At 37.7% G+C, this 26,022-nt stretch overlaps 1 long non-coding RNA gene across 1 annotated transcript in view, besides 1 other annotated feature; it reads right to left on the bottom strand.

Annotated features, from left to right (window-relative positions):
• LINC01572 (long intergenic non-protein coding RNA 1572) overlaps positions 1-26,022 on the bottom strand; it is a 384,069-nt gene that overhangs the window by 57,589 nt on the left and 300,458 nt on the right. Inside the window, exon 9 of the long non-coding RNA NR_126330.2 lies at positions 10,577-10,716. This is a non-coding gene — a long non-coding RNA (long intergenic non-protein coding RNA 1572). The remainder of the gene's footprint in view (positions 1-10,576; positions 10,717-26,022) is intronic.
• Positions 18,112-18,281: an enhancer, noted in NCBI's record as "experimental_44041 CRE fragment used in MPRA reporter constructs". NCBI's record gives its function as "activates a minimal promoter by MPRAs in K562 erythroleukemia cells, with activity observed for the introgressed 16:72390586 variant allele {active_cell/tissue: K562}" and the evidence as "EXISTENCE:reporter gene assay evidence [ECO:0000049][PMID:34662402]".

The raw sequence follows: 26,022 nt of genomic DNA on the forward strand, positions 1-26,022 counted from the left end.
AAACATTAAATAACACCCTCTACCATTCTATTTTTCTCTTACTTTTGGATTAACCTTTTTTAAAACAAAAAAAAAATCACTAAACCTTTCTACAATTGGCAATTAACAACATATTTATCATTTTTATGCTTGTTGTACTTTCTTATGTCCCATGCCTCCCTCTGGGTTAACATTTCTTTCTTTCTCTCCTTCTCATTCCCTTCCCTTCTCCTTCCCTCCCTTCTTCCTTCCTGTTTCTTTTGAGACAGGGTCTTGCTCTGTCACCCAGGCAGGAGTGCAGTGGAATAATCATAACTCACTGCATCCCCAACTTCTGAGGCTCAAGCAATCCTACTATCTCAGCCTCCTGAGTAGCTAGGACCATAGGCATGTACCACCACACCCTGTTAATTTAATTTTTTATAGGGATGGGGTATCACTATGTTGCCTAGGCTGGCCTTGAATGTCTGATCTCAAGTGATTCTCCCAGCTTGGCTTCCCAAAGTGCTAGGATCACAGGTGTAAGCCACTGTGCCTGGCTGACTTTGTTTCTTATATGCTTGAATCCTTTCTGGTTGCACAGTAAGGATCTGTACTTTTGCCTTCCTTCTTGAATGTTAGTATAGTTGAGTATAAAATTTTGAATTGACAATTTTTTCTCCCAAACACCATTATATGATGGTATTTATGGGTATTCCTTATAATGTGATGTGATGTGATTTTATATTTATTTATTTATCCTGCTCATTATTCAAGACACAATTTAAACATGAAGACTGCTAACTTTTGAATTCTGGAAATTTCCAAGATGTCATGTTTTTAAATATTCCTTCTATTTCATATACCATTCCTTCTATTTGTTTCTTGAAGATCAACTTTTAGATGTGGCTTGGGGCCTCACAATATATCCTCTTTATCTTAACGATTTTTACTTTACTTCTTTGTCGTTCTGTGTGAATTTCTTAATACTGCCTTATATGTCATTAATTATTTCTTTGCCTGTGTATAACCTAGATTTTATTACATCTATTGAGTTTAAATTTGCCACCTATAGATATTAAGATACTATTCTAGTTTGAATGCAGAATAGATTTTTAAAAGATAATCACCCTAGGGTTACTGTTCTGAATTTGAGAAGTGTGTACCCCAGAATACATGGAAAGAGACAATTTCTTATAGTGTGCCAATTGTGTTATTTCATAACTAAGTAGATATAGCTTATATTGCCTTATAAAACCCACTTTTGTTTATTCCTATGATACATTATAAGAATAATATTTGGATAATGTTAGTAACTTTGATTATTCTTTTTCTTCAATGGTCTGAGTTGAAAGCTCTTTAAGGAGAGGAGACTTTTTGTGATTGTTTAAAAAGAAAAGCAACAAAACAATTGTATTTTCAAAATAATATATGCAAGGATGTTTGGAGTCAGTTTTTTTTCTTTTTTGAGACGTAGTCTTGTCCTGTTGCTCAGGCTGGAGTGCAGTGGCGCGATCTCGGCTTACTGCAACCTCCGTCTCCCGGGTTAAAGCAATTCTCCTGTCTCAGCCTCCCAAGTAGCTGGGAGTACAGGTGCCTGCCACCACACCAGGCTAATTTTTGTATTTTTAGTAGAGACGGGGTTTCATCAAGTTGGCCAGGCTGGTCTTGAACTCCTGACTTCGTGATCCACCCGCCTTGGCCTCCCAAAGTGCTGGGATTACAGGTGTGAGCCACTGTAACCGTCTTTTTTTTTTTTTTTTTTTTTTTTTTTTTTTTGAGACAGAGTCTTGCTCTGTCGCCAGGCTGGAGTGCAGTGGTGCCATCTCGGCTCACTGAAACCTCTGCCTCCTGGGTTCAAGTGATTCCCCTGCCTCAGCCTCCTGAGTAGCTGGGATTACAGGTGTGCGCCACCACGCCTGGCTACTTTTTTGTATTTTAGTACAGACGGGGTTTCACTATGTTGACCCCTATGGTCTCGATCTTCTGACTTTGTGATCCGTCCATCTCAGCCTCCGAAAGTGCTGGAATTACAGGCATGAGCCACCGTGCCCGGCCCAGTTTTCTTAATTCAATACATTAAGGAAGACTGGGTAATGAGTACATTTTAAATATTTCAAATGCAAATAAAAGACAGCTAAACAGGCATTCTGTCGAATTTCTCCCAAATGATTTCAGAACGTATCCAAAACATGTAATGCTTTTGTCTAAAAAGAATTATGTACAGGAAATGCTAAGAGATTAGAAATAGGGATCTTTAATGGAGAATATCTGGCATTACAATATAGTGGTTGGTATGAAAGTTACAATAGTAAATTTTAAGTAAATTTAATTTTTAGTCCACATTGGGTGATTAAATGAGAGTGGTTTGAAATGAGTTTATGATTAGCTCATTTTAATGTATTAATTATTGTCATCTGAACTGATTAGCTTATGGAAATGTTTTCCTTTCCCCTGGGGAGTATACATACATTTATTAAAAGAAACAAAAGCTAATCCCTAGTAAACATTCTAATTAATATAATGCCTAGTAAACCTTCTAATTAATATAGCATTTATACTTTTAAAATATAATTTACAATAGCAGTTAGAAATGGATAACTAGGGGCTGGGCATGGTGGCTCATGCCTATAATCCCAGCACTTTTGGGGCTGAGGTGGGAGGATTGCTTGAAGCTAGGAGTTCAAAATTAACCTGGCCAACATAGAAAGACCACATCTTAAAAAAAAAGAAACTGAGTAATTAAAAAAACACAAACATCCTCTGTATTCTTGCAGACCATTACAAACTCCCTCAGTCTTGAGTATCTGACATTATTGATCAGCCATTCCTTTAAATAAATATGTCAATTTTTCAATCCTGTTTCAAAATATTAATCTGTTCTCAGGATTTCAAATTTTGTTTCTGATAATCAAAATCTACTTCTACAACCTAATAACATTCAAAAATGTCTACTGCATATTTCCGATTGCATAAACAGCCATATTTTGGCTAATCAGTGAGCACTTTCTATATTAATATGCTTAAAGTTTATTCCAAAGGGGTGTTTATGGAAGCCTTAACTATGCCTGGAATACTGTCCTGGGTACTGGGCTTATATAAATCATGAGGTGTAAGAAGCTCAGAATTAATGATGAAGAGAGATTCATAAACAAATAGTTACAGATATGGTGTCATAAGGGCTGGGAACAGAGAAATGTACACAGTGCGCTCCAAGTGCCCAGAGACACTGGCTAATCCCCTAAGACTCCCCTCCCTACTTCCTCATTCTACTTATTGGAGCTCAAAACACTACAATCATCTTCAGTTCACTCTTCCTATATCCCATATTATCAGATTAGCTACCAAGTTCCAGTTTGATTCTTTCTTCCAAAAATCTCATAGAAATCCCACCCTCCACTATCCTCCATTCCTCCCTATTTACATTGCCACTGTTCTTGTTCATTCTCTCTCAATCTGCTATGGACTGTTTTAATATCCCATTAACCAGACTCCCTGATTTAATTGCTGGGGATCCAATCTTTCAGTACTGTGATGCATTTTCATCATGTCAACAACCAGTACCAGCCGCTGCAAAATCATGCCAAAATGTAAAGACCATTGAGACTAGGAAGAAACTGCATCAACTAACGAGCAAAATAACCAGCTAACATCATAATGACAGGATCAAATTCACACATAACACTATTAACTTTAAATGTAAATGGACTAAATGCTCCAATTAAAAGACACAGACTGGCAAATTGGATAAAGAGTCAAGACCCATCAGTGTGCTGTATCCAGGAAACCCATCTCACATGCAGAGACACACATAGGCTCAAAATAAAGGGATGGAGGAAGATCTACCAAGCAAATGGAAAACAAAAAAAGGCAGGGGTTGCAATCCTAGTCTCTGATAAAACAGACTTTAAACCAACAAAGAAGAAAAGAGACAAAGAAGGCCATTACATAATGGTAAAGGGATCAATTCAACAAGAAGAGCTAACTATCCTAAATATATATGCACCCAATACAGGAGCACCCAGATTCATAAAGCAAGTCCTGAGTGACCTACAAAGAGACTTAGACTCCCACACATTAATAATGGGAGACTTTAACACCCCACTGTCAACATTAGACAGATCAACGAGACAGAAAGTCAACAAGGATACCCAGGAATTGAACTCAGCTCTGCACCAAGCGGACCTAATAGACATCTACAGAACTCTCCACCCCAAATCAACAGAATATACATTTTTTTCAGCACCACACCACACCTATTCCAGAACTGACCACATACTTGGAAGTAAAGCTCTCCTCAGCAAATGTAAAAGAACAGACATTATAAGAAACTATCTCTCAGACCACAGTGCAATCAAACTAGAACTCAGGATTAAGAATCTCACTCAAAGCCGCTCAACTACATGGAAACTGAACAACCTGCTCCTGAATGACTACTGGGTACATAACGAAATGAAGGCAGAAATAAAGATGTTCTTTGAAACCAACGAGAACAAAGACACAACATACCAGAATCTCTGGGACGCATTCAAAGCAGTGTGTAGAGGGAAATTTATAGCACTAAATGCCCACAAGAGAAAGCAGGAAAGATCCAAAATTGACACCCTAACATCACAATTAAAAGAACTAGAAAAGCAAGAGCAAACACATTCAAAAGCTAGCAGAAGGCAAGAAATAACTAAAATCAGAGCAGAACTGAAGGAAATAGAGACATAAAAAACCCTTCAAAAAATTAATGAATCCAGGAGCTGGTTTTTTGAAAGGATCAACAAAATTGATAGACCGCTAGCAAGACTAATAAAGAAAAAAAGAGAGAAGAATCAAATAGACGCAATGAAAAATGATAAAGGGGATATCACCACCGATCCCACAGAAATACAAACTACCATCAGAGAATACTACAAACACCTCTACACAAATAAACTAGAAAATCTAGAAGAAATGGATAAATTCCTTGACACATACACTCTCCCAAGACTAAACCAGGAAGAAGTTAAATCTCTGAATAGACCAATAACAGGATCTGAAATTGTGGCAATAATCAATAGCTTACCAATCAAAAAGAGTCCAGGACCAGATGGATTCACAGCCGAATTCTACCAGAGGTACAAGGAGGAACTGGTACCATTCATTCTGAAAGTATTCCAACCAATAGAAAAAGAGGGAATCCTCCCTAACTCATTTTATGAGGCCAGCATCATTCTGATACCAAAGCCAGGCAGAGATACAACCAAAAAAGAGAATTTTAGACCAATATCCTTGATGAACATTGATGCCAAAATCCTCAATAAAATACGGGCAAACCGAATCCAGCAGCACATCAAAAAGCTTATCCACCATGATCAAGTGGGCTTCATCCCTGGGATGCAAGGCTGGTTCAATATACGCAAATCAATAAATGTAATCCAGCATATAAACAGAGCCAAAGACAAAAACCACATGATTATCTCAATAGATGCAGAAAAGGCCTTTGACAAAACTCAACAACCCTTCATGCTAAAAACTCTCAATAAATTAGGTATTGATGGGACATATTTCAAAATAATAAGAGCTATCTATGACAAACCCACAGCCAATATCATACTGAATGGGCAAAAACTAGAAGCATTCCCTTTGAAAACTGGCACAAGACAGGGATGCCCTCTCTCACCACTCCTATTCAATGTAGTGTTGGAAGTTCTGGCCAGGGCAATTAGGCAGGAGAAGGAAATAAAGGGCATTCAATTAGGAAAAGAGGAAGTCAAATTGTCCCTGTTTGCAGATGACATGATTGTATATCTCGAAAACCCCATCGTCTCAGCCCAAAATCTCCTTAAGCTGATAAGCAACTTCAGCAAAGTCTCAGGATACAAAATCAATGTGCAAAAATCACAAGCATTCCTATACACCAACAACAGACAAACAGAGAGCCAAATCATGAGTGAACTCCCATTCACAATTGCTTCAAAGAGAATAAAATACCTAGGAATCCAACTTACAAAGGATGTGAAGGACCTCTTCAAGGAGAACTACAAACCGCTGCTCAAGGAAATAAAAGAGGATACAAACAAATGGAAGAACATTCCATGCTCATGGGTAGGAAGAATCAATATCGTGAAAATGGCCATACTGCCCAAGGTAATTTACAGATTCAATGCCATCCCCATCAAGCTACCAATGCCTTTCTTCACAGAATTGGAAAAAACTACTTTAAAGTTCATATGGAACCAAAAAAGAACCTGCATCGCCAAGTCAGTCCTAAGCCAAAAGAACAAAGCTGGAGGCATCACACTACCTGACTTCCAACTATACTACAAGGCTACAGTAACCAAAACAGCATGGTACTGGTACCAAAACAGAGATATAGATCAATGGAACAGAACAGAGCCCTCAGAAATAACGCCGCATATCTACAACTATCTGATCTTTGACAAACCTGAGAAAAACAAGCAATGGGGAAAGGATTCCCTATTTAATAAATGGTGCTGGGAAAACTGGCTAGCCATATGCAGAAAGCTGAAACTGGATCCCTTCCTTACACCTTATACAAAAATCAATTCAAGATGGATTAAAGACTTAAACGTTAGACCTAAAACCATAAAAACCCTAGAAGAAAACCTAGGCATTACCATTCAGGACATAGGCATGGGCAAGGACTTCATGTCTAAAACACCAAAAGCAATGGCAACAGAAGCCAAAATTGACAAATGGGATCTAATTAAACTAAAGAGCTTCTGCACAGCAAAAGAAACTACCATCAGAGTGAACAGGCAACCTAGAAAATGGGAGAAAGTTTTCGCAACCTACCCATCTGACAAAGGGCTAATATCCAGAATCTACAATGAACTCAAACAAATTTACAAGAAAAAAACAAACAACCCCATCAAAAAGTGGGCGAAGGACATGAAGAGACACTTCTCAAAAGAAGACATTTATACAGCCAAAAAACACATGAAAAAATGCTCACCATCACTGGCCATCAGAGAAATGCAAATCAAAACCACAATGAGATACCATCTCACACCAGTTAGAATGGCGATCATTAAAAAGTCAGGAAACAACAGGTGCTGGAGAGGATGTGGAGAAATAGGAACACTTTTACACTGTTGGTGGGACTGTAAACTAGTTCAACCATTGTGGAAGTCAGTGTGGCGATTCCTCAGGGATCTAGAACTAGAAATACCATTTGACCCAGCCATCCCATTACTCGGTGTATACCCAAAGGACTATAAATCATGCTGCTATAAAGACACATGCACACGTATGTTTATTCCGGCATTATTCACAATAGCAAAGACTTGGAACCAACCCAAATGTCCAACAATGATAGACTGGATTAAGAAAATGTGGTGCATATACACCATGGAATACTATGCAGCCATAAAAAATGATGAGTTCATGTCCTTTGTAGGGACATGGATGAAATTGGAAATCAACATTCTCAGTAAACTATCGCAAGAACAAAAAACCAAACACCGCATATTCTCACTCATAGGTGGGAATTGAACAATGAGATCACATGGACACAGGAAGGGGAACATCACACTCTGGGGGCTGTTGTGGGGTGGGGGAGGGGGGAGGGATAGCATTGGGAGATATACGTAATGCTAGATGACGAGTTAGTGGGTGCAGCACACCAGCACGGCACATGTATACGTATGTAACTAACCTGCACAATGTGCACATGTACCCTAAAACTTAAAGTATAATAAAAAAAAATACATAAAAAAAAATCTTATTTGTCTTTGGACATAATTTATGAATCAATTTTTTCTTGTTCTATGATTTGTCACCCAATAGGATTTGATAGGCTCCTGTTCGATTCACAGTTGATAGGACAGAAGCACCAGAGCTCAATTAAAATGATACTTGAAAGATACCTGGTATCACTAAAATTTATGGAATTATGTATTAAATGATCCCCAAAGAATCAGCTATTTCAAAATTAAAAATTATTACAAAGAGCTTCATACATCACATTGTATCGTATATCACAAACCATAAAAATGTCAGAAGTAGCTCAATTTCACATTACTGTATTTCTTGATGGTGATCTATCTGGACGAGTAAGCCTTGCTGAATTTGAATGTGGATAATAAAGCTCACACTCTAAGAAAATGTTTAAAATATGAAATAGAACTGGGGATCGTGGTGGAGAATTCCTTGGGAGAATGCAGTTAGGGGATCTTTGAGTCTCAACAGTTTGCAGTTCTTTTCACAGCACATAAATGATTTAACAGTAACACAGAGTGGCCAGAGTAAATTATTTCCATTTCATCACTGCACAACTTATTATAAGTAACCAGATGAGATGCTGAATGATTACATTGTTATGATGTATTCTGATCTGATCTGAGTTTTTATTTTCTTTTTCGTTTTGTTTTGTTTTGATTTTCGATGCCTTGGATCCTTGCCAAATCAATCAGCTGAAGCTGGCTTGAACAACGACAATGTAACTTGCAAAAGCCAGTTCATCAAAACCCTCAGGATCATACAAACAAGGAAAAAATACCAAGGGTCCTCTCTTATTTGTCTTCTTGGCTATCTGTGTTCCATGGGAAGGATATAAAATAACATGAACAGGATTTAAATGCTCTGTTTTGACAGGTTATTAAGATTCCAATCACAACCTGCCTACTATCCCTGATCTAGCTAAATCCAGAAAGGTGGCAGAATGTCTCTAAAGCAGCTACACACACACACACACACACACACACACACACACACAGACACACACACAAAACAAAAAATGCCAGAAAAGATGGAAGAGTAAGAAAATCAGGCCAACATGAATAATTTGGTAGAGTTGCAGAGCAGGGGAGGGTTTTAAACCAAGACACTTGCCAGCATGGCAGGGTATATTGGTGCAGCTGACTGGCATAAAATTCCCTGAAGAGAATTTAGATACTGGTAGCTCAAGTGCTGTCAATCTCATCTTTTTCTACCATATAATCCATAGCTCCAACTGAGACCTCTGTGGGAGGCCAGGTTCTTATCCTCTGAAATTAGAGCCCACCCTCTGTATGAGATTTCCTACCACAGGGCTAGCTCTGATGCAGGCAGTGGGGTACTGACTCTAACTTCTCTAAAGTCCTTTATAAACATTCTTCTAATGATGCAAATTTCACCACGATGAGCACTGGCTCGAGTCCTTGCCTCACACCCTTGTTTCCAAGGCTCTGTTATAATAAAACATGGAGGCTTCCATGGTGAAGGACACTGGGGAATCATTGCAGGATACAGAACTAGGGAGTTCCAAGAATTACAGGAGACAAAGCACTCTGAAACTACGTAGACTAAAATACGTAAAAAATGACTATCATTGGTATATCACAAGGATTGGCCAAACTATTAGCTCATGGGCCACATATGGCTACTGTCTGTTTCTGTAAATAAAGTTGTACTGGAACATAGCCTTGTTCACCTATTCATTTACAAATTGTCTATGGCTGTCATAAGTGAGTGGTTGCAACAGACTGTATGGCCCCCAAAGCTTAAAATAACGACCATCTCTCCCTTTAAAAAAAGAGTTGCTTACCCCTGATACAGAATAACTGAGCAAAATCACCTAAGCTTAGTTCTTTGCTGGGAAATAACATGCATGCAGATGATTGTCTGACAGGCCTAATAAAATAACTACAAAGGCTAGGTGCAGTGGCTCACGCCTGTACTCCCAGCACTTTGGGAGGCTGAGGCAGGCAGATAGCATGAGGTCAGGAGTTCGAGACCAGCCTGGTCAATATGGTGAAACCCAGTCTCTAATAAAAATACCCAAATTAGCCAGGCGTGGTGGCACGTGCCTGTAATCCCAGCTACTCAGGAGGCTGAGACAGGAGAATTGCTTGAACCAGGAGGCGGAGGTTGCAGTGAGCTGAGATTGTGCCACTGCACTCCAGCCTGGGCGACAGAGCAAGACTCCCTCTCAAAATAAATAAATAAATAAATAAATAAATAAATAAATAAATAAATAACTACACAAAAGTCATATGGCAACAAAACTCTCCAGGAAGGTACTTGTTAGGATACCTGTTACAAGAGGCAGTATGTATGGTAGAATGAGCATCAACTGTGAACCTAGATTTGACCCATATTTCTGCTGTTTATTGGGCCGAACAAACCTTGCCTCACAGAGTTATTATCAGGATTAAATGTTATGATCTAACTCAGCAGTACCTAACCTTTTTGGCACCAGGGACCAGGTTTGTGGAAGACAATTTTTCCACGGATGCCAGGGGTTGGGGGGAATGTGATTTTGGGATGAAACTTCTACCTTAGATCATCAGGCATTAGATTCTCATAAGGACTGCACAATCTAGATCCCTTGTATGCAAAGTTTGCAATAGAGTTCGTGCTCCTGTGAGAATCTAATGTTGCTGCTGATCTGACAGGATGTGGAGCTCAGGTGGTAATGCTCACTCGCCTGCTGCTCGCCTCCTGCTGTGCGGCCCAGTTCCTAACAGGCCACAGACCAGTACCTGTCCTTGGCCTGAGGGTTGGGGACCCCTGATCTAACTGAGAATACTTAATACTCACTCAACTGTTGTGTTCTTCCTTCCAGTCTCTCTGTCTTCATCATTTCCAGCACTGATCTGAACATATAAGAACAAGACCTTGATACCTTTTGAATAAGAAGTAGCACCTGTCTGGAACTGTATCTTGACTCTCACTGGTGCTTTTCCTTTGGTTGATGCAAAGCTTTCAAATCCTTTAGGGAGATGCCGTTGTGAATATCTATGATAGTCTCCTGTGCCTTCAAAATCTTTGCCTTCTCTGTAGAACCTGGAAAACACAGAAAAGAGGCCCCATACATGAAAGGGAAGGAGAAATTATTGGTTCACAATTAGATAGAGGTTAAAATATCCATTCAGTACTTGTAATGATAGGTTACTATCACTGTTGGTCACATGATTAGATCAATACTTTACATTGAAACCACATGAAATTACTACTTTGGTGTCACCATTATCCATAATGATTGAATTCTACCAGTCAATGTTAATAACTGCAAATGAATTCAATTAACAATCACAGACATTGTCCACAGCAACGGGTTATAAATTCAAAAAGTTATTTTTGTTTGTTGAAAACATAAAAATGTATTTTATATTGAAAACAGTCTGATAATATTAATGTTATATTACTTTTAAACATTAATAATAGCTAACATTCACCAAGCCCTTTTTGTGTGGCACAGTCAAAGACTGCATATGTATCATCTTATTTAATGCTCACAACAACCTAATGAGAAAGGCAAAATCATTACTCCCACTTTATAATAAACTAAGACTTAGAGGAGTTAAAATGACAACTGAAACACATTATAGCATTTCACCAAAACAACATAGCATTTCACTGACAAATTATATAAACTGTTGGTGAAGAAAGAAAATGTTTAAAAAATATGAAGCTTGCTATTTCATGACTCAGTATCTCCTTGCTACATGTTTGTATGTTGAGTCCTTTCCACAACTTAATCTTCAGGTAATTTGATTACACATCATTTTTCATGATGATTAGGTAACAGTAGTCAATTGCCTTTTCAGTTTCAATGCATGTTTTGTTTTTTTTTTCTTTTTGAGACAAAGTCTCGATTTGTTGCCTGGGCTGGAGTGCAGTGGATCAATCACAGCTCATGGCAGCCTTAACTTCCCGGGTTAAAGCGATCCTCCCACTTTAGCCTCCTGAGCAGCTAGCACTACAGGCATGTGCCACCACACCTAATATTTTTTTCATTTTTTTGTACAGGCAGGATCTTGTTCTGTTGCCCAGAATTGCCTTGAACTCTTGGCCTCAAGCGATCCTCCTGCCTTGGCCTCCCAAAGTGCTGGGATCACATGTGTGAGCCTAGCCTCAATGCAATTTTGATGATTTATTTATTTAATTTTCATTTTTATCAATACTTTTAAGTAGATTTTTTGAAAGTCAAAATATCCTATAAATTGTAACAGAAAATAGTAGTCCTTTGTTCAACTTCTACTATCTAAAGTCAACCACTGTCAAATAATTTAGCTGTTTCTTCTAGTATCTGTCTCTGTATTTCTGAAGAACATGCGGGCCTTACAACGTCTTGATTTTTTTCTATTTTAGGCACAACATCCTGACTTCTTAAGAGTGGATTAGGATTTAGTTATCTTATGCTTCCCCTACATTTTGTGCATGCCCACACACTTTTGAATCCTTGCAAAGAACTTATGAAGTAGGTTTTTTTTTTTTTTTTTTTTTTGAGACAGAGTCTTGCTCTGTTCCCCAGGCTAGAGTGCAGTGGGGTGATCTTGGCTCACTGCAACCTCTGCCTCCCAGGTTCAAGAGATTCTCGTGCCTCAGCTTCCCAAGTAGCTGGGACTACAGGTGCATGTCACCACACCCGTCTACTTTTTTGTATTTTTCATGGAGGTTTTGCCATGTTGCCCAGGCTGGTCTTGAACTCCTGAGCTCAAGCGATCCATCCGCCTTGGCCTTCCAAAGGGCTGGTATTACAGGTGTGAGCCACAGTGCCTGGCCTGAAGTAGATATTATTATCTCTGTTTGACAGAAAAAAAAAAAACAAAGACTCAGAGAAGTTATGTATCTTGTTGTAGATTAAGATTCAAAGCAGTTCTTACTCCAAGCTTCTCTTTCAATCAGATACTCTAACATGCTCCATTTCCTTGAAGATACTTTAACACCCCTCACTCTCATCAAGAAGAAAAATTTTTGTCAGACAACAAAACAGCCATTCTATGGCCACACTTTGTTCTACCACACTTTGTTAAAAGTGGATCCCAGGAAAACTTGTAACCTCAAGATTTTAACTAAATTGGGACTAAAATCCAGGATTTGAACCACCATCAAACTGGATTATACGTTATTACTTCTGCCACCTTGGCACTGGTCCCCATTTGGCCTTATCACCTCTGTCTTCCCTGTTCTGCTACCTTTTGCCTAATCTTCATTACTTCAAACACAGAATATTGTAAAGCCTCCCAAAAAGTTCTCCAAACCACATCCATACCACCTTATGCATCACTGCCAATCAATCTTCCTGAAACAGAGTTCCAACCTGCCATCCCTGTTAAAATCTTCTATGGATTTACACTTGGCTCCAAATTAAATACAAGGGCTCAAGACCGTCCATCCAATGGTCTAAACATTTATTGCTCTCAGAACTCAACCTCTAAATTACTGTATTCTCTTTTTTTCAAACACCCTCATTTCTATTTTGCCACTATCTTTTTTCATCCCATTTCTTGCTCATCATTTCTGCTTTTAGAAGTACCCCAATTCCCAATTTAAATTCCACTTTTCCTTGTTTTCCCAGTTAGAAATTTTTTATTGATTTTTTGAAACTTCCTTAGTTTATGCTTCTTTTATATAACTGATACACAAATAATGGAAGCCAGAACATAATGTTTTACTTCCCCAATAGGTGGTAAGTTTTACAAAGATAGGGACAATGACTTGTTCATTTAATGTTACTCATAGTGCTTAGCAGTGTCTTGAACAAGAATCCAATAGATGTTTACTGAATGAACAAACAAATTTAGGTTTAGGTTAGAAATCAAACATGGTTTTGGGCAAAATGAAATCAAAACAAAAAGTATATACAGAGGTCTCAAAATGTCTTTTCCCTAATCCTTTAAAATGACTTTTTATGTTGTATGTACATCCTGTTGAGTTCAAGTTACTTTTTTTTTTTTTTTTTGAGACGGAGTTTTGCTCTTGTTGCCCAGGCTGGAGTGCAATGGCGTGATCTCGGCTCACTGCAACCTCTGCCTCCCGGGTTCAGGTGATTCTCCTGCCTCAACCTCCCAAGTAGCTGGGATTACAGGCATGCGCTACCACGCCCGCCTACTATTGTATTTTTAGTAGAGATGGGGTTTCTCCAAGTTGGTTAGGGTGGTCTCAAACCCCGATCTCAGGTGATCCACCCACCTCAGCCTCCCAAAGTGCTGGGATTACAGCTGTGAGCTACCGAGCCTGGCCCAAGTTATTTCTCCATAAGTTTTAGAGAAAGTCAATTAAGATAAATAATAACAGAAATATAGACAAATGGAACAGAACAGAGCCCTCAGAAATACTACCACACATCTACAACCATCTGATCTTCGACAAACCTGACAAAAACAAGAAATGGGGAAAGGATTCCCTATTTAATAAATGGTGCTGGGAAAACTGGCTAGCCATATGTAGAAAGCTGAAACTGGATCCCTTCCATACACCTTACACAAAAATTAATTCAAGATGGATTAAAGACTTAAAGGTTAGACCTAAAACCATAAAAACCCTAGAAGAAAACCTAGGCAATACCATTCAGGACATAGGCATGGGCAAGGACTTCATGTCTAAAACACCAAAAGCAATGGCAACAGAAGCCAAAATTGACAAATGGGATCTAATTAAACTAAAGAGCTTCTGCACAACAAAAGAAACTACCATCAGAGTGAACAGGCAACCTACAGAATGGGAGAAAATTTTTGCAATCTACTCATCTGACAAAGGACTAATATCCAGAATCTACAATGAACTCAAACAAATTTACAAGAAAAAAACAAACAACCCCATCAAAAAGTGGGCAAAGGATATGAACAGACACTTCTCAAAAGAAAACATTTATGCGGCCAACAGACACATGAAAAAAATGCTCATCATCACTGGCCATCAGAGAAATGCAAATCAAAACCACAATGAGATACCATCTCTCACCAGTTAGAATGGTGATCATCAAAAAGTCAGGAAACAACAGGTGCTGGAGAGGATGTGGAGAAATAGGAACGCTATTACACTGTTGGTGGGACTGTAAACTAGTTCAACCATTGTGGAAGACAGTGTGGTGATTCCTCAAGGATCTGGAACTAGAAATACCATTTGACCCAGACATCCCATTACTGGCTATATACCCAAAGGATTATAAATCATCCTGCTATAAAGACACATGCACACGTATGTTTATTGCGGCACTATTCACAATAGCAAAGACGTGGAAACAACCCAAATGTCCACCAATGATAGACTGGATTAAGAAAATGTGGCACATACACACCATGGAATACTACGCAGCCAGAAAAAAGGATGAGTTAATGTCCTTTGTAGGGACATGGATGAAGCTGGAAACCATCATTCTCAGCAAACTATTGCAAGGACCAAAAACCAAACACCGCATGCTCTCACTCATAGGTGGGAATTGAACAGTGACAACACTTAGACACAGGAAGGGGAACATCACACACTGGGGCCTGTCATGGGGTGGGGGGAGGGGGAGGGATAGCATTAGGAGATATACCTAATATAAATGACAAGTTAATGGGTGCAGCACACCAACATGGCCCATGTATACATATGTAACAAACCTGCACGTTGTGCACATGTACCCTAGAACTTAAAGTATAATAACAAAAAAAAGATAAATAATAAGAAAAAGAATATACAAAGTAGGGTAGATTCAAGAATGATCTAAAAAATGGTGAGTAAAATAAAATTATAATGCTGCTCTAATTCTAGAACAATAGGAGCACATTTATCATAAAAATTTCCATCAGACAAGATGGCTACTGTATGTCTTCTGCCACAGTTCTTTTAAAGGAGATCCCAGGAAAACTCACAGAGAAAGGCAGATATTGCCCCCTGGGCTGAGTCAGAGAATACCTCTGAAATAAGGAGGTGGGAATGTTATTTTTACTCAAATATCTTTGATTTCATGATTTGTGATTAAAAAAAAAAACTGTTGAGCGTAGATGGACTCGAACCAGTAAGCACAAATATTTACAATCATTTATTTATACCTGTTTTTAAAAATAACAAAAAATATCTGAGAAAGGCAAATTTGGTGCCCAGCTATCAAAAGTTTATTTTGAAAAACTATTCAGAGTATCCTCTTCCCAATTCTCAATTTAAGAAAGGAAAAATATAATTTTGTAATCTTGTAATTAGTGAAAAAAGATCCAAGGCTGGTAAATCAACATCTTCATGTAGTATAAAATCAATAATACACAGAAACAAAATTAATGAATACATTTTAATGAAGTATATCAAATAATTGTAACTGGGAAATTAATAATAGTACTTGAATTTTAAATTGTGATTGTCTTTCAAGAAGTCCAAAATATGTTACAACCCTGAAGCCCAGCTCTTTACCATCATGGGACCAGGCATGAACCCTTCCATCTATACTCTTGATGTTGCCATGGGGTTGGATCTATGTAGTATCTGTTCAGGGATGCAACCTTCACAATCATCTGGCAACTGTTATTAGGTTTCCCAACTTTAACTTCCTTGTTCCATCTCGTAGTACAATTAGGAATCTCTTGAAAGTGACACCAGGAAGTGCATTGTTGCATGCAAAAGGAGACAATTAAGTTACTTTCTCTTCCAGAAAAGTGAGTTCTAAGAGTTAGAAAGGACTTGGATAAATGGTTTATATGGAGAGGGAATTCCTTCAGAAAGGAAAAAGTGATTTTTTTTCTATATTAGCATTGTAGGTTAGAAATGTCTAATGGAACGAACACGTCCTACATCTTGAATTTTTCTAAATTGCATGGAGCAGAAAATGGATTTCAACCTACTTTTTATATGAAAATTAGTTTGTTGTTGGATTTAAGTTTTGTTTTGTTTTTTTTTCTTTTCTGAATTGGAAGTTACTATGACCAGGATGAAGGCAAGAGCTAAAATATTTTCCCTGACTTCCAAGGAATGGTGTTCAGGCAGTTATATTCCTGGAAAGTTCTTTCTTGCCCTGGAGAAACTAGTTTTACTGTTGTTAAGATTTGGTTATCTAAGTCTCTATTTCTGTCTGTCTTTCTAACCATCCATCAAAGACTATTGTGAAAGAAGAGAACTTTTGAAGAAAGGAGTAAAAAGGGACATGGTAGGGAGGCAGTGAAGACTAAAAAGGAAGGGAGAAAGAGAGGCCATTCCAAATGTCCTGAAATAGCAGAGTGGTCTGAGTGTGGGCCACTGGCCAGGAGCTGCCAGGGAAAGGCCAAAGAAGGATCCAATCCTGAAGTGGCAAGTAAAATGCCCAGAACTCCCTTAAATCAGAATCTTGCCTCCAAATTGTCCAGTCTTCAACTTGAACTTGCCGACTGGTCACCTTGCCACCTTGGGAGTGGCCGACCTGCCTGTGCTGCACTTTGCTCTGCCACCATTTGCCTACTCCATGAGGACATCTCCCCACAGTAGCTCCCAGGAGGCTGTGGCTACCCAGAGGGCAGTGGAGGAAAATCTTTGGGCTGAGATATTAGAAATGAACACACTCATTGAACTAGTTTCCTTTTATTAAATATAGCCAATCCCTCAAGGAACCAAAACAATATAACGAAGAGTCAGCTAGATCAACAGATCAGTATGAAGAGCCCAGAGACAGACTCAAGCATGTGTGGGAACTTGGTATTTGAAGGAAGTTACTTCACAAATTTTTGAGTGAAAGAACAGATTATTCAACAAGTGGTTTTGGACAACTGCCTGTTCATACAGAAAAAAATAAAAATAGACTCTTTACCTTAGTGCCCACATAAAATATTTTTCAGATATTGGATTGATGACCTAAAGCGAAAAACAAGCTCAAACTATTAAAGTTGCTTCAAGGTAAAGGAGGCTTTCTTAAATAAGATCAAACCACAAAATTGAAAATTAAAACATACAACAACATAAGTGTTGGCAAAGGAAACGAGGCAGCAGCTCACAGAAAAGTAAATCTGCTTAGCCAATAAGCACATTCCAAAAAATATTTTCACTAGAAAAATAATAATGGGATACCATTTTTAAACCCAGACTGTCAGAAGTTTAAGTGTCAGGTAGTATCAAATATCTGTAAGAAGGTGAGAATTTCATGCACCTCTGAGGGGAGTGTCAATTGGTACAACCACTTTGATAAGAATATGTCAGTATCTAATTAACTTTGGAAACACATATCCCTATAATGGGCTATTCCATTTCAGATATATGTCCCAGAGAAAGTACATATGAGTGCACAAGATGTGCATGTGTGTGTTTATTGTAGCCTTGATTGCAATATCAGACATTTGAAAATAATCCAAAAATCTACAAAAATGGAAAATTATGATGAATTTTATACTGCGATGAAAAAGAATAAACTGTCGGATGGGTAGGTCCAAAAAAATTGTATTAAACATTAAAAGCAAGAAGCAAAATAATAGAGGATACGTAATATTTTAATATATTCTATGTATTGCTTATGGATGTATCTATAAATGTATGTTAAGATACGAAAAATGAATTTGAAGCATAGATTAAAACAATTCTAAGGCCAGGCATGGTGGCTTATGCCTGTAATCCCAGCACTTTGGGAGGCCAAGGCAGGTGGATCACCTGAGGTCAGGAGTTTGAGACCAGCCTGGTCAACATGGCGAAACCCTGTCTCTACTAAAAAAATACAAAAATTAGCCAGGCGTGGTGGTGGGCGCCTGTAATCCCTGCTACTTGGGAGGCTGAGGCAGGAGAATTGCTTGAACTCGGAAGGCAGAGGTTGCGGTGAGCTGAGACGTCATCACACTCCAGCCTGGATGACAAGAGCAAAACTCCGTCTCAAAAACAAAAACAAAAACAAAAAAACCCCCCAAAAACAAATTCTAGAAGTTGCCTCACGGGACTGAAAAGAGGAGAACTGGACAGAAGAATGGTGGTTATGAGGACTTTAGCTTTATGTGTAATATTTTATTTTTTAGTGTAGAATGTGATTGGTGTATTATTCTTTATACTTTTCTATATTTTAACATTTATTTCCCAAAAGTCTAATATGCTACTTTGAGAGATGTTCCCTTTTGACTTCCTAATGTGTTGATACAGACAGTTCCTATACAGGAAGAAGAAACATACGTTATAAAGTATATATAAGATTCTCTGTTACTAAAACTGTTTTATGGCAAAAAATTTTTAAATTTTATTTTTGAGAGCCATTATATTCTTATAGTATTCTACGTGAATAGGATAATAAAATTAAACAGTCTTTGTTCTGAAGGAGGACCTCAGAGATCATTACAGAATAACCCCTTCATTTTACAGATGAGACAACGAAAGCACAGAGACTGGGTGAAGGTCACGCAGCTTGTTAGTAATCCAGTCAGGATGAAAACTCCGAGACCACACTGGAATGTTATATAAACTATCTTTTCCCAACTGTCATCTTTATTCATTCTTCCTCACCCTCCTCCCTACACACACCATGACAGAATTCTACTCCTCCATTCTTCTTCATGTTATAGTCAGCTTGGGTGTTATTTATGTATGCCTATTATCCTCACGGAACATGAAGTTTTGCTCCTGCAAGTCCAAGACCAAGTCTGATTTATCTTTGTAGTTTCGCACATAGTAGGTGATCAATAAATATTTGTTAAATATTCTACCTCAGTTGTTATCTTTATGGTATTGCCAGCTTGGTATGAAGGACAATATATTCAAAGGAATTTAGCACTTAGATTTGTTATAACTCTAATAATAGAGTAATAAAACTAATATCTAATCTTCATTTTAGAGATAACTTGATTCAGGGAGCTGAGCCATAACGTCTCTGCCATGTTTTTTTGATATATACATTATAGGAAAGACATGTCTTTAGCAGCTGAGCTTGCCTTATCACCCTAATGGTGTATGACTCAGTAGAGCACAGGCAGGGTTTTCCTAGAGGGGTGAACGTGAGTGCCCCTCAGTTCTCTCCAGCATCATCTTAATCTTGTATTTCTCAACACTCAGCTCCTGCAGCTGATGCATGTTTAAAAGATTTTCACTCACGCTGTTTTGTCAACGTGATAGATTTTATTCACCAGCTGGGATTTTCATGTGTTCTGTAGCTTCTTATGGCTTTTCATTGGGTTTGGGTCTCTCTCTGCTTTCCTCATATTAGTAATGATTCTGGAATAATGGAAAAGGGCTCAATTCGAGCTTCACGGCAATTTAAGTATCACTTTTTATAGTTTTCTCCCTCACATTTCTACAGCATCCTGTCTACTAATATTAACACCCCAGCTTGAGGCAGGCACAGACCAATTTGCTTTATGGATTCTTTGACCCCTAAAAGTCCTTGCTCTGTTTCTGAGCTCTTCCAACAGGAGCCTGGAATTAGCCCCACAAACCTATATCTGCTTGTCCCCTACAAAGGCAAGTGAGAACTAAGGCAACCTTTTTCTCCTCTCTCACAGCAAACTGCATAAATTTTAAATGTACACATATCCTTGCTTGCTTTTAGTAATTCAAATAGCAAATCTGTTCAGAGAACATGTGAAGTAGATGTGATTTTTTATTGACTGATAACATGAAACTCATGGAATGAACCTAATATGAACTTTCTGAAATCACTGTGGTTGACATACATGAAAAAAACTTGGATTCCTAGTGAGGTCTTCATGGAGTCAAAATTATGTTTTTAACATGTTTAGATATTAATTTTGTTGAGGGGATGGCCAGAAAATAGTATTTATTTCTTACTGAATTTGGAAAAAGTATTTAAAAGAGCATTTTATATTGAATACCTTCCTCTATCTTCTCAGCACTAAATGAATGACTAATTAAATCTGTTATATGAAAACATCATAGCAGATGGTCCTTCCCATTAATAAGTATGTAATGAAACAATAAACATGCTGAAGAGAAAGACATGAGAAATTGCAGATGAGTTGTGCAGTGAGTAATTTATCTCAGGACGCAGGGGTCAACCAATGGGAAAGCTGCTTTGAGAGTGAACATTCCCCTCTTCTTTCTCCATCCTGCTGGTCACCTATTAATGCTGCAAATGATCTATTCAAATTACTGAGTCTTCAGTGTGAAGTGTCCCAGAAAAATACTCTACAGTGCACAAAGATGAAGCTAAAAAGGGCAAACTCATTTGTGAATACATAAACAAAAGTTATAATGTTCTAACAAATGGAATCCAGCAATGTATCACAATAATAATGCAGTACGACCAGGAAGGGTTTGTTTTCAGGAATGAAAGAGTATTTCAATATTAGAGAATCTATCAACATAATTCATTACATTACCAAAATTATTACATCTGTAGATGCTGAAAAGGCATTTAATACAGTCCCAAAGTCATTCCTAATAAGTAATAAGTAGAAGGAATCTATTTAGCTATAATAAAGGCAATTTTCCAGAAACCAACAGAAAATTTCATTCTTAACAAAACCCTAAGACCATTTCAATTAAAATCAGAAACAATTTGGGAAGGGCCATTAATACTAATTGTTACTTTAATGTTATCTTGGAGCTTATAATAATACATACTTATTATTTATTAACAACAGTGTCATTAGTGACTGCAGGAAAGGCACTGGGAAAGAAACTACTAAGACAGGTGTGCTGGATTGTTCTAATGTTAACAGAGTTACAACGGGAACTGTGTTTTTCAGAAATCTTTTCTTTCATGGTTTTGTGCAAGAATTGACAAAAATCAGAGGTCACATGAGACTTGGGAAGCAAAAACAGCCATTATCTTTGAAGATTTTCTGAGTCAGATACAATGAAGGATGGATGCAGAAGTGGCCAGTAAATTCATTTGTCATTGTTTTCCCCACTCCATGTCCAGCTCTACTTCCTGACTGCTAGATCTGCTGACCAAAAGTAGCCCCAGGTCCTCCACCAGTTACCTGACTGATGGCTCCACAAGTGGGAGCTATGCAGAGGTACCAGCTTTCCAGAAACTTTTCTGCCATGTCCTCTTCATGTTTTCTCTCTGGCACCTGAGTGTATCTAGCTTTCCAGAATTCTAAGAACATATCTTCAAGAGGGCTTGTTAATGACTTTTCTCTAATCCTCCGACTCCCCATTTTGAATCCTTACTTCCGAACATCTCTCACAATTATGTAAGGTCCTTTTTCTATAATTAAACCCTATTTCATGATATTAGTTGTTCTGCTTCCCTGACTAAAACCCTTAATAATACAATCAGTAAAATAGTTGGTTAACAGGGCTGGATATAAGATAAATGTTAAAAAAAAATGTGGTTTTTTTTGGTATTTTAGCAATAAGAAACTAGAAACAAAATGAAAATAATAGAATTTTTTTCCACAACAGTGACAAAAACCATAAAATAAAACGAATAAAGTTACAAAGAAGGGCATAGGATTATATGAAGAAAAGTATAAAATCTTACTGAAGGACATAAAATATGACCTAAGCAATTGAAAAAGCATTTCATGTTCTTGGACAGGGAGATCAAAGATGATAAGATGTTAATTCTCCAAATTAATGTAAAAGAAAGTGCATTTCCAATTAGGATCCTAACAGAATTTTTAAAAAATAAGTTTTTGTTATCTTAAAATTTATATGTAAGAATAAATGTCTTTTAATATGAAAAAGAACAATGTGTGTGTGTGAGGATTCTTAATTTACTGTTATGTATGAACATATTATACAGTTTTTTGTAATCAAATCAATATGGTATCAGCATGAGATGAGATAAGATTATAGGATAGAAAATTCAGAAGTAGATTGTAATATATATGAGAATTCAGCATGTGAAAAAATTGGTGGCTCAGCTTTGTGGCGGAAGTAAAGTACAACTGACTTAAGCAACAGTGCTTGCATTCATACTTAATATACAGATCATGAGCATAAAGAAAAATTCAGAAGAATGCATAAGTTCGTTAATGCAAATTGTCTAGAGGGTAAGTGTGGGACATGAGGCAGGAATTGGGGTAGAAAGGACAAAAAGAAAAATGATAAAATTGTAAAGCAAACTTAGAATGTATGATGTATACCATGAAAGTGAATTTATATTTTAGTGTGATGTGTGAAAGCATATATAGAGAAATGGATGCGGGCAAGGAGAGAGATCTGTTGACGTCTAAGAATATGCACAATATATCAGTGAAGAAAACAAGTTGAAGAGTACATGTACAATTTGATTCTGTGTAGATGAAAACACACCAACACACTGTATTGGTCAGGGTTTGATCAGAGAAGTAGGAATTCAAGGAGTCATATAGAATAAGGAATTTATTATAGAGCCTTGACCTTATACAGTGGTGGAAAGTAGTTAAACAGCTTCTGTATAGCTGTTGCTTCAGCATTGGGTGTTGGGCCTAAAGTCTCCAGGGCAGGCAGCTGGGAAGCAAAGATGGACAGGAAATGACATGCCATTCCAAGGACATATTAGAACCTATAAGGTCAAGTGGGAACCTAGGTAGCTCTTTTACTTCCTTCAAACCTCCAACTTTTATGATGTGGGTGTCCTGCAGGAGAATCTGATGCCCTTGGTCATGGAGCAGAACCTGAATAGGAGTAGGAGAAGCTGGAAGAGGAAATCCTGTGGCAGCTGGAGAATCTGTGGGCCCAGCTGCTACCTGATGCCAACCAGGTGAGCCAGCACATCTACAGTGTGTGTAAGCTTCTACAGTACCTGAGCTTATTTCAACCTTCCCAATCTAGTCACGCCTGGTGCTTTATTTTACCTTTCAAATCTCAGGCAAATTTCTCTTGTGGCCAATCCTAGCCCAGAACCATTCAGGGAAGGGAATTCTGGGGAGAGAAATTCTGGGAAACATAGCCATCACATACACACATACAAATAAATGGGACCCCTATGTAAGTGTATGCATACCTTTATGTTGGTATGGATAAAACGAAATGCACAGAAGGATACACCCCAACTGTGAAGCCTGGTTTCATTAGGAGGAGATGGTAGTAGAGCGATATGACCAGGATTATGAATAAAAAGGTAGATGATCAGTCTTACCAGGATACAACTTTTTATTTTATTGTTTTCACTTGTTATAAGAAATTATTATGCTAGTAATTTAAAAGTATTGAATGAATTTAAAATATCAAAAACCAAAATGAATTCACACAGGCCTTCAATTCTGATTTTTTTATCATATAATAGTTGTTCTTGTGCTCACATCCCATCTCTGCCAGCTACTACTTGTGTGACTTTGAACAAGTTATTTAATTTCTCTACTGGACATAGTAATAATAATGATAATACCTGGCTTGTACAGTTGTTGTATAAATTAAATTAGATGCACAAAATGCCTAGAATTGTGCTTAGCAAACAGCAAGTGCTCAATAACATTAGTCATCATTATCATTTTCGTTATTTCTATCGTTATTAATATATCTAAGTGGAAATCACTCTCCTCCTTCTCATACCCTATCAACTCAATTCTTTCCTGTCAAATCAAGAAGAAAAGGAGGAGGAAAGAAGGGAATCTGATTTAAACAGAGATGCCCCAAAAGGTTGTCACTAGCCCATGGGTCAGTGAGTTGTAACCCTAGGTAGTCATTAAAAGGATGTCGATGACAAATAGATGCAAGGTCAAGCAATGTAATGATTACCCAGAAAAAGCCTGGGAGTGAGACGGTCAATTTAGCTATGTGAGTGTATTTGTGAAGCTGTGCATGTGTGTTCTCATGTGTTAGCACAAATAAGTTTGTGTATAAATTGCAAGTAAACAATACAACAACTGAGAATAAATGCACGTAAGGAAAGGTTTATAAATGCCTGCAAGCGTGAGGTCAGTGTACCATATATAATCTTACATTTTCTGATCCACATATATGAGTTAAAAGAGGGGACTGCCACAATGCTCATTTACACACCCTGAGTCCTGCAATTTATTTCACTGTATTTGATGTTGGCAGGGAAGCATTTATTTATTTAAAATCACTCAGAATACAGCACAAAGAGCTATTCTGTACGTATGAGCTATTCAGTAGGCATGAAATGTGCCTAAGCTGAAAAAAAAAATCCCCCTCCTGGACTTTTGACATATCGTGACCACAGTGAAGGCAACATGAGGCTTCTTTTGTTTCTAGATGCTGCAGGAGGAAATGAAACAATGGGGCAGGAACATGGTTTTTAATCTTTTTTTCTATGGGGGCATACGTGGCTGACTAATGTTCCCTATCACAATGCTCTTCTAAACCCAATTCCCAGCATACTGGCCATTACTTCATCTCATTCACTGCCACCCAAGAGAGCATTTCAGGATACAAATGAGTGAGACTGACATTGGAGGAGGATAACCTTGCAGACATTCTATTTTTTAATTAAAAATGTAATACATGAATATATTCTCATTGTAAAAGACTGAAATAGGAAAATATATAGAATACACTCCTGTACCAGCTCCTCCACACCCAAACTCCTACTCTCCACAGAGAAGTTAACAAATTATTAACAATTTGGTGTGCATCTTAAATTTGCACTTTCATTTATTTATATGTACGCATGTGTTTATATATCTAAAAACAAACGTGTGTATAAATATGCAAATGCATGCATAGTGTGTTTTTTCCATAAATAAAATTATAGTTTAGATATTTTCTGGTGACTTGTTTAATTTCCACTTAACATTACAACATAAGATATCTTTCCATATAAGTACCTACAGCCCATCTTATTTTTATAACATCTGCATAGTATTGTATCATATAAATGTACCATATTTAAATTTAACCTCTTCCAAATTGGTGGATATTTAGGCTGTTTCTTTTTTATTATCAAAATAACATTGCACAAAACATACTGGCTTATCTTTGTACATGTTGCCTTGTGTACAAATGTTTTAATTTTTATTTTAATTTTTTTAGAGACAAGGTCTTACTCTGTCACCCAGGCTAGAGCGCAGTGGTGCAATCATAGCTCACTGTAATCTGGAACTCCTGGGCTCAAGCAATCCTACCACCTAGCCTCCTGAGAAGATAGGACTACAGGTATGCACCATCTTGTTCAGCTAATTTTAAAATTTTTTTGTAGAGATAGAGGTCTCACTCTGTTGCCCAGGCTGGTCTCAAACTCCTGGCCTCAAGCAATCCTCCCACCTAGGCCTCTGAAAATGCTGGGATTACAGAGGGGAGCCACTGTGCCCAGACCAAATATATTTGTTAAGAAAAGATACCTAGTAGCCGCATTGCTGGATCACATTTTAGTTCTTTTAGTATTTAATTCAATGTGAAATGTCCTGAAAATTTGTACCAATTTATACTCTTAACCAGAGGCATGTTTTTTTATTCTTTCAAAACATGTTTTTTCAGCGGCTACTTACCTACCTACTACCTATTTAACACGGCGGAGGAAAATAAAGCAGGTTTAGAGGTATTGGAAGTAATGGGGTGGGTTGCTTATTTAAATTAGGTGGTACAAGTATTATGCTAAGA

This window comes from Homo sapiens, chromosome 16 (genome assembly GCF_000001405.40).
Source record: "Homo sapiens chromosome 16, GRCh38.p14 Primary Assembly".
NCBI lineage: Eukaryota > Metazoa > Chordata > Mammalia > Primates > Hominidae > Homo > Homo sapiens.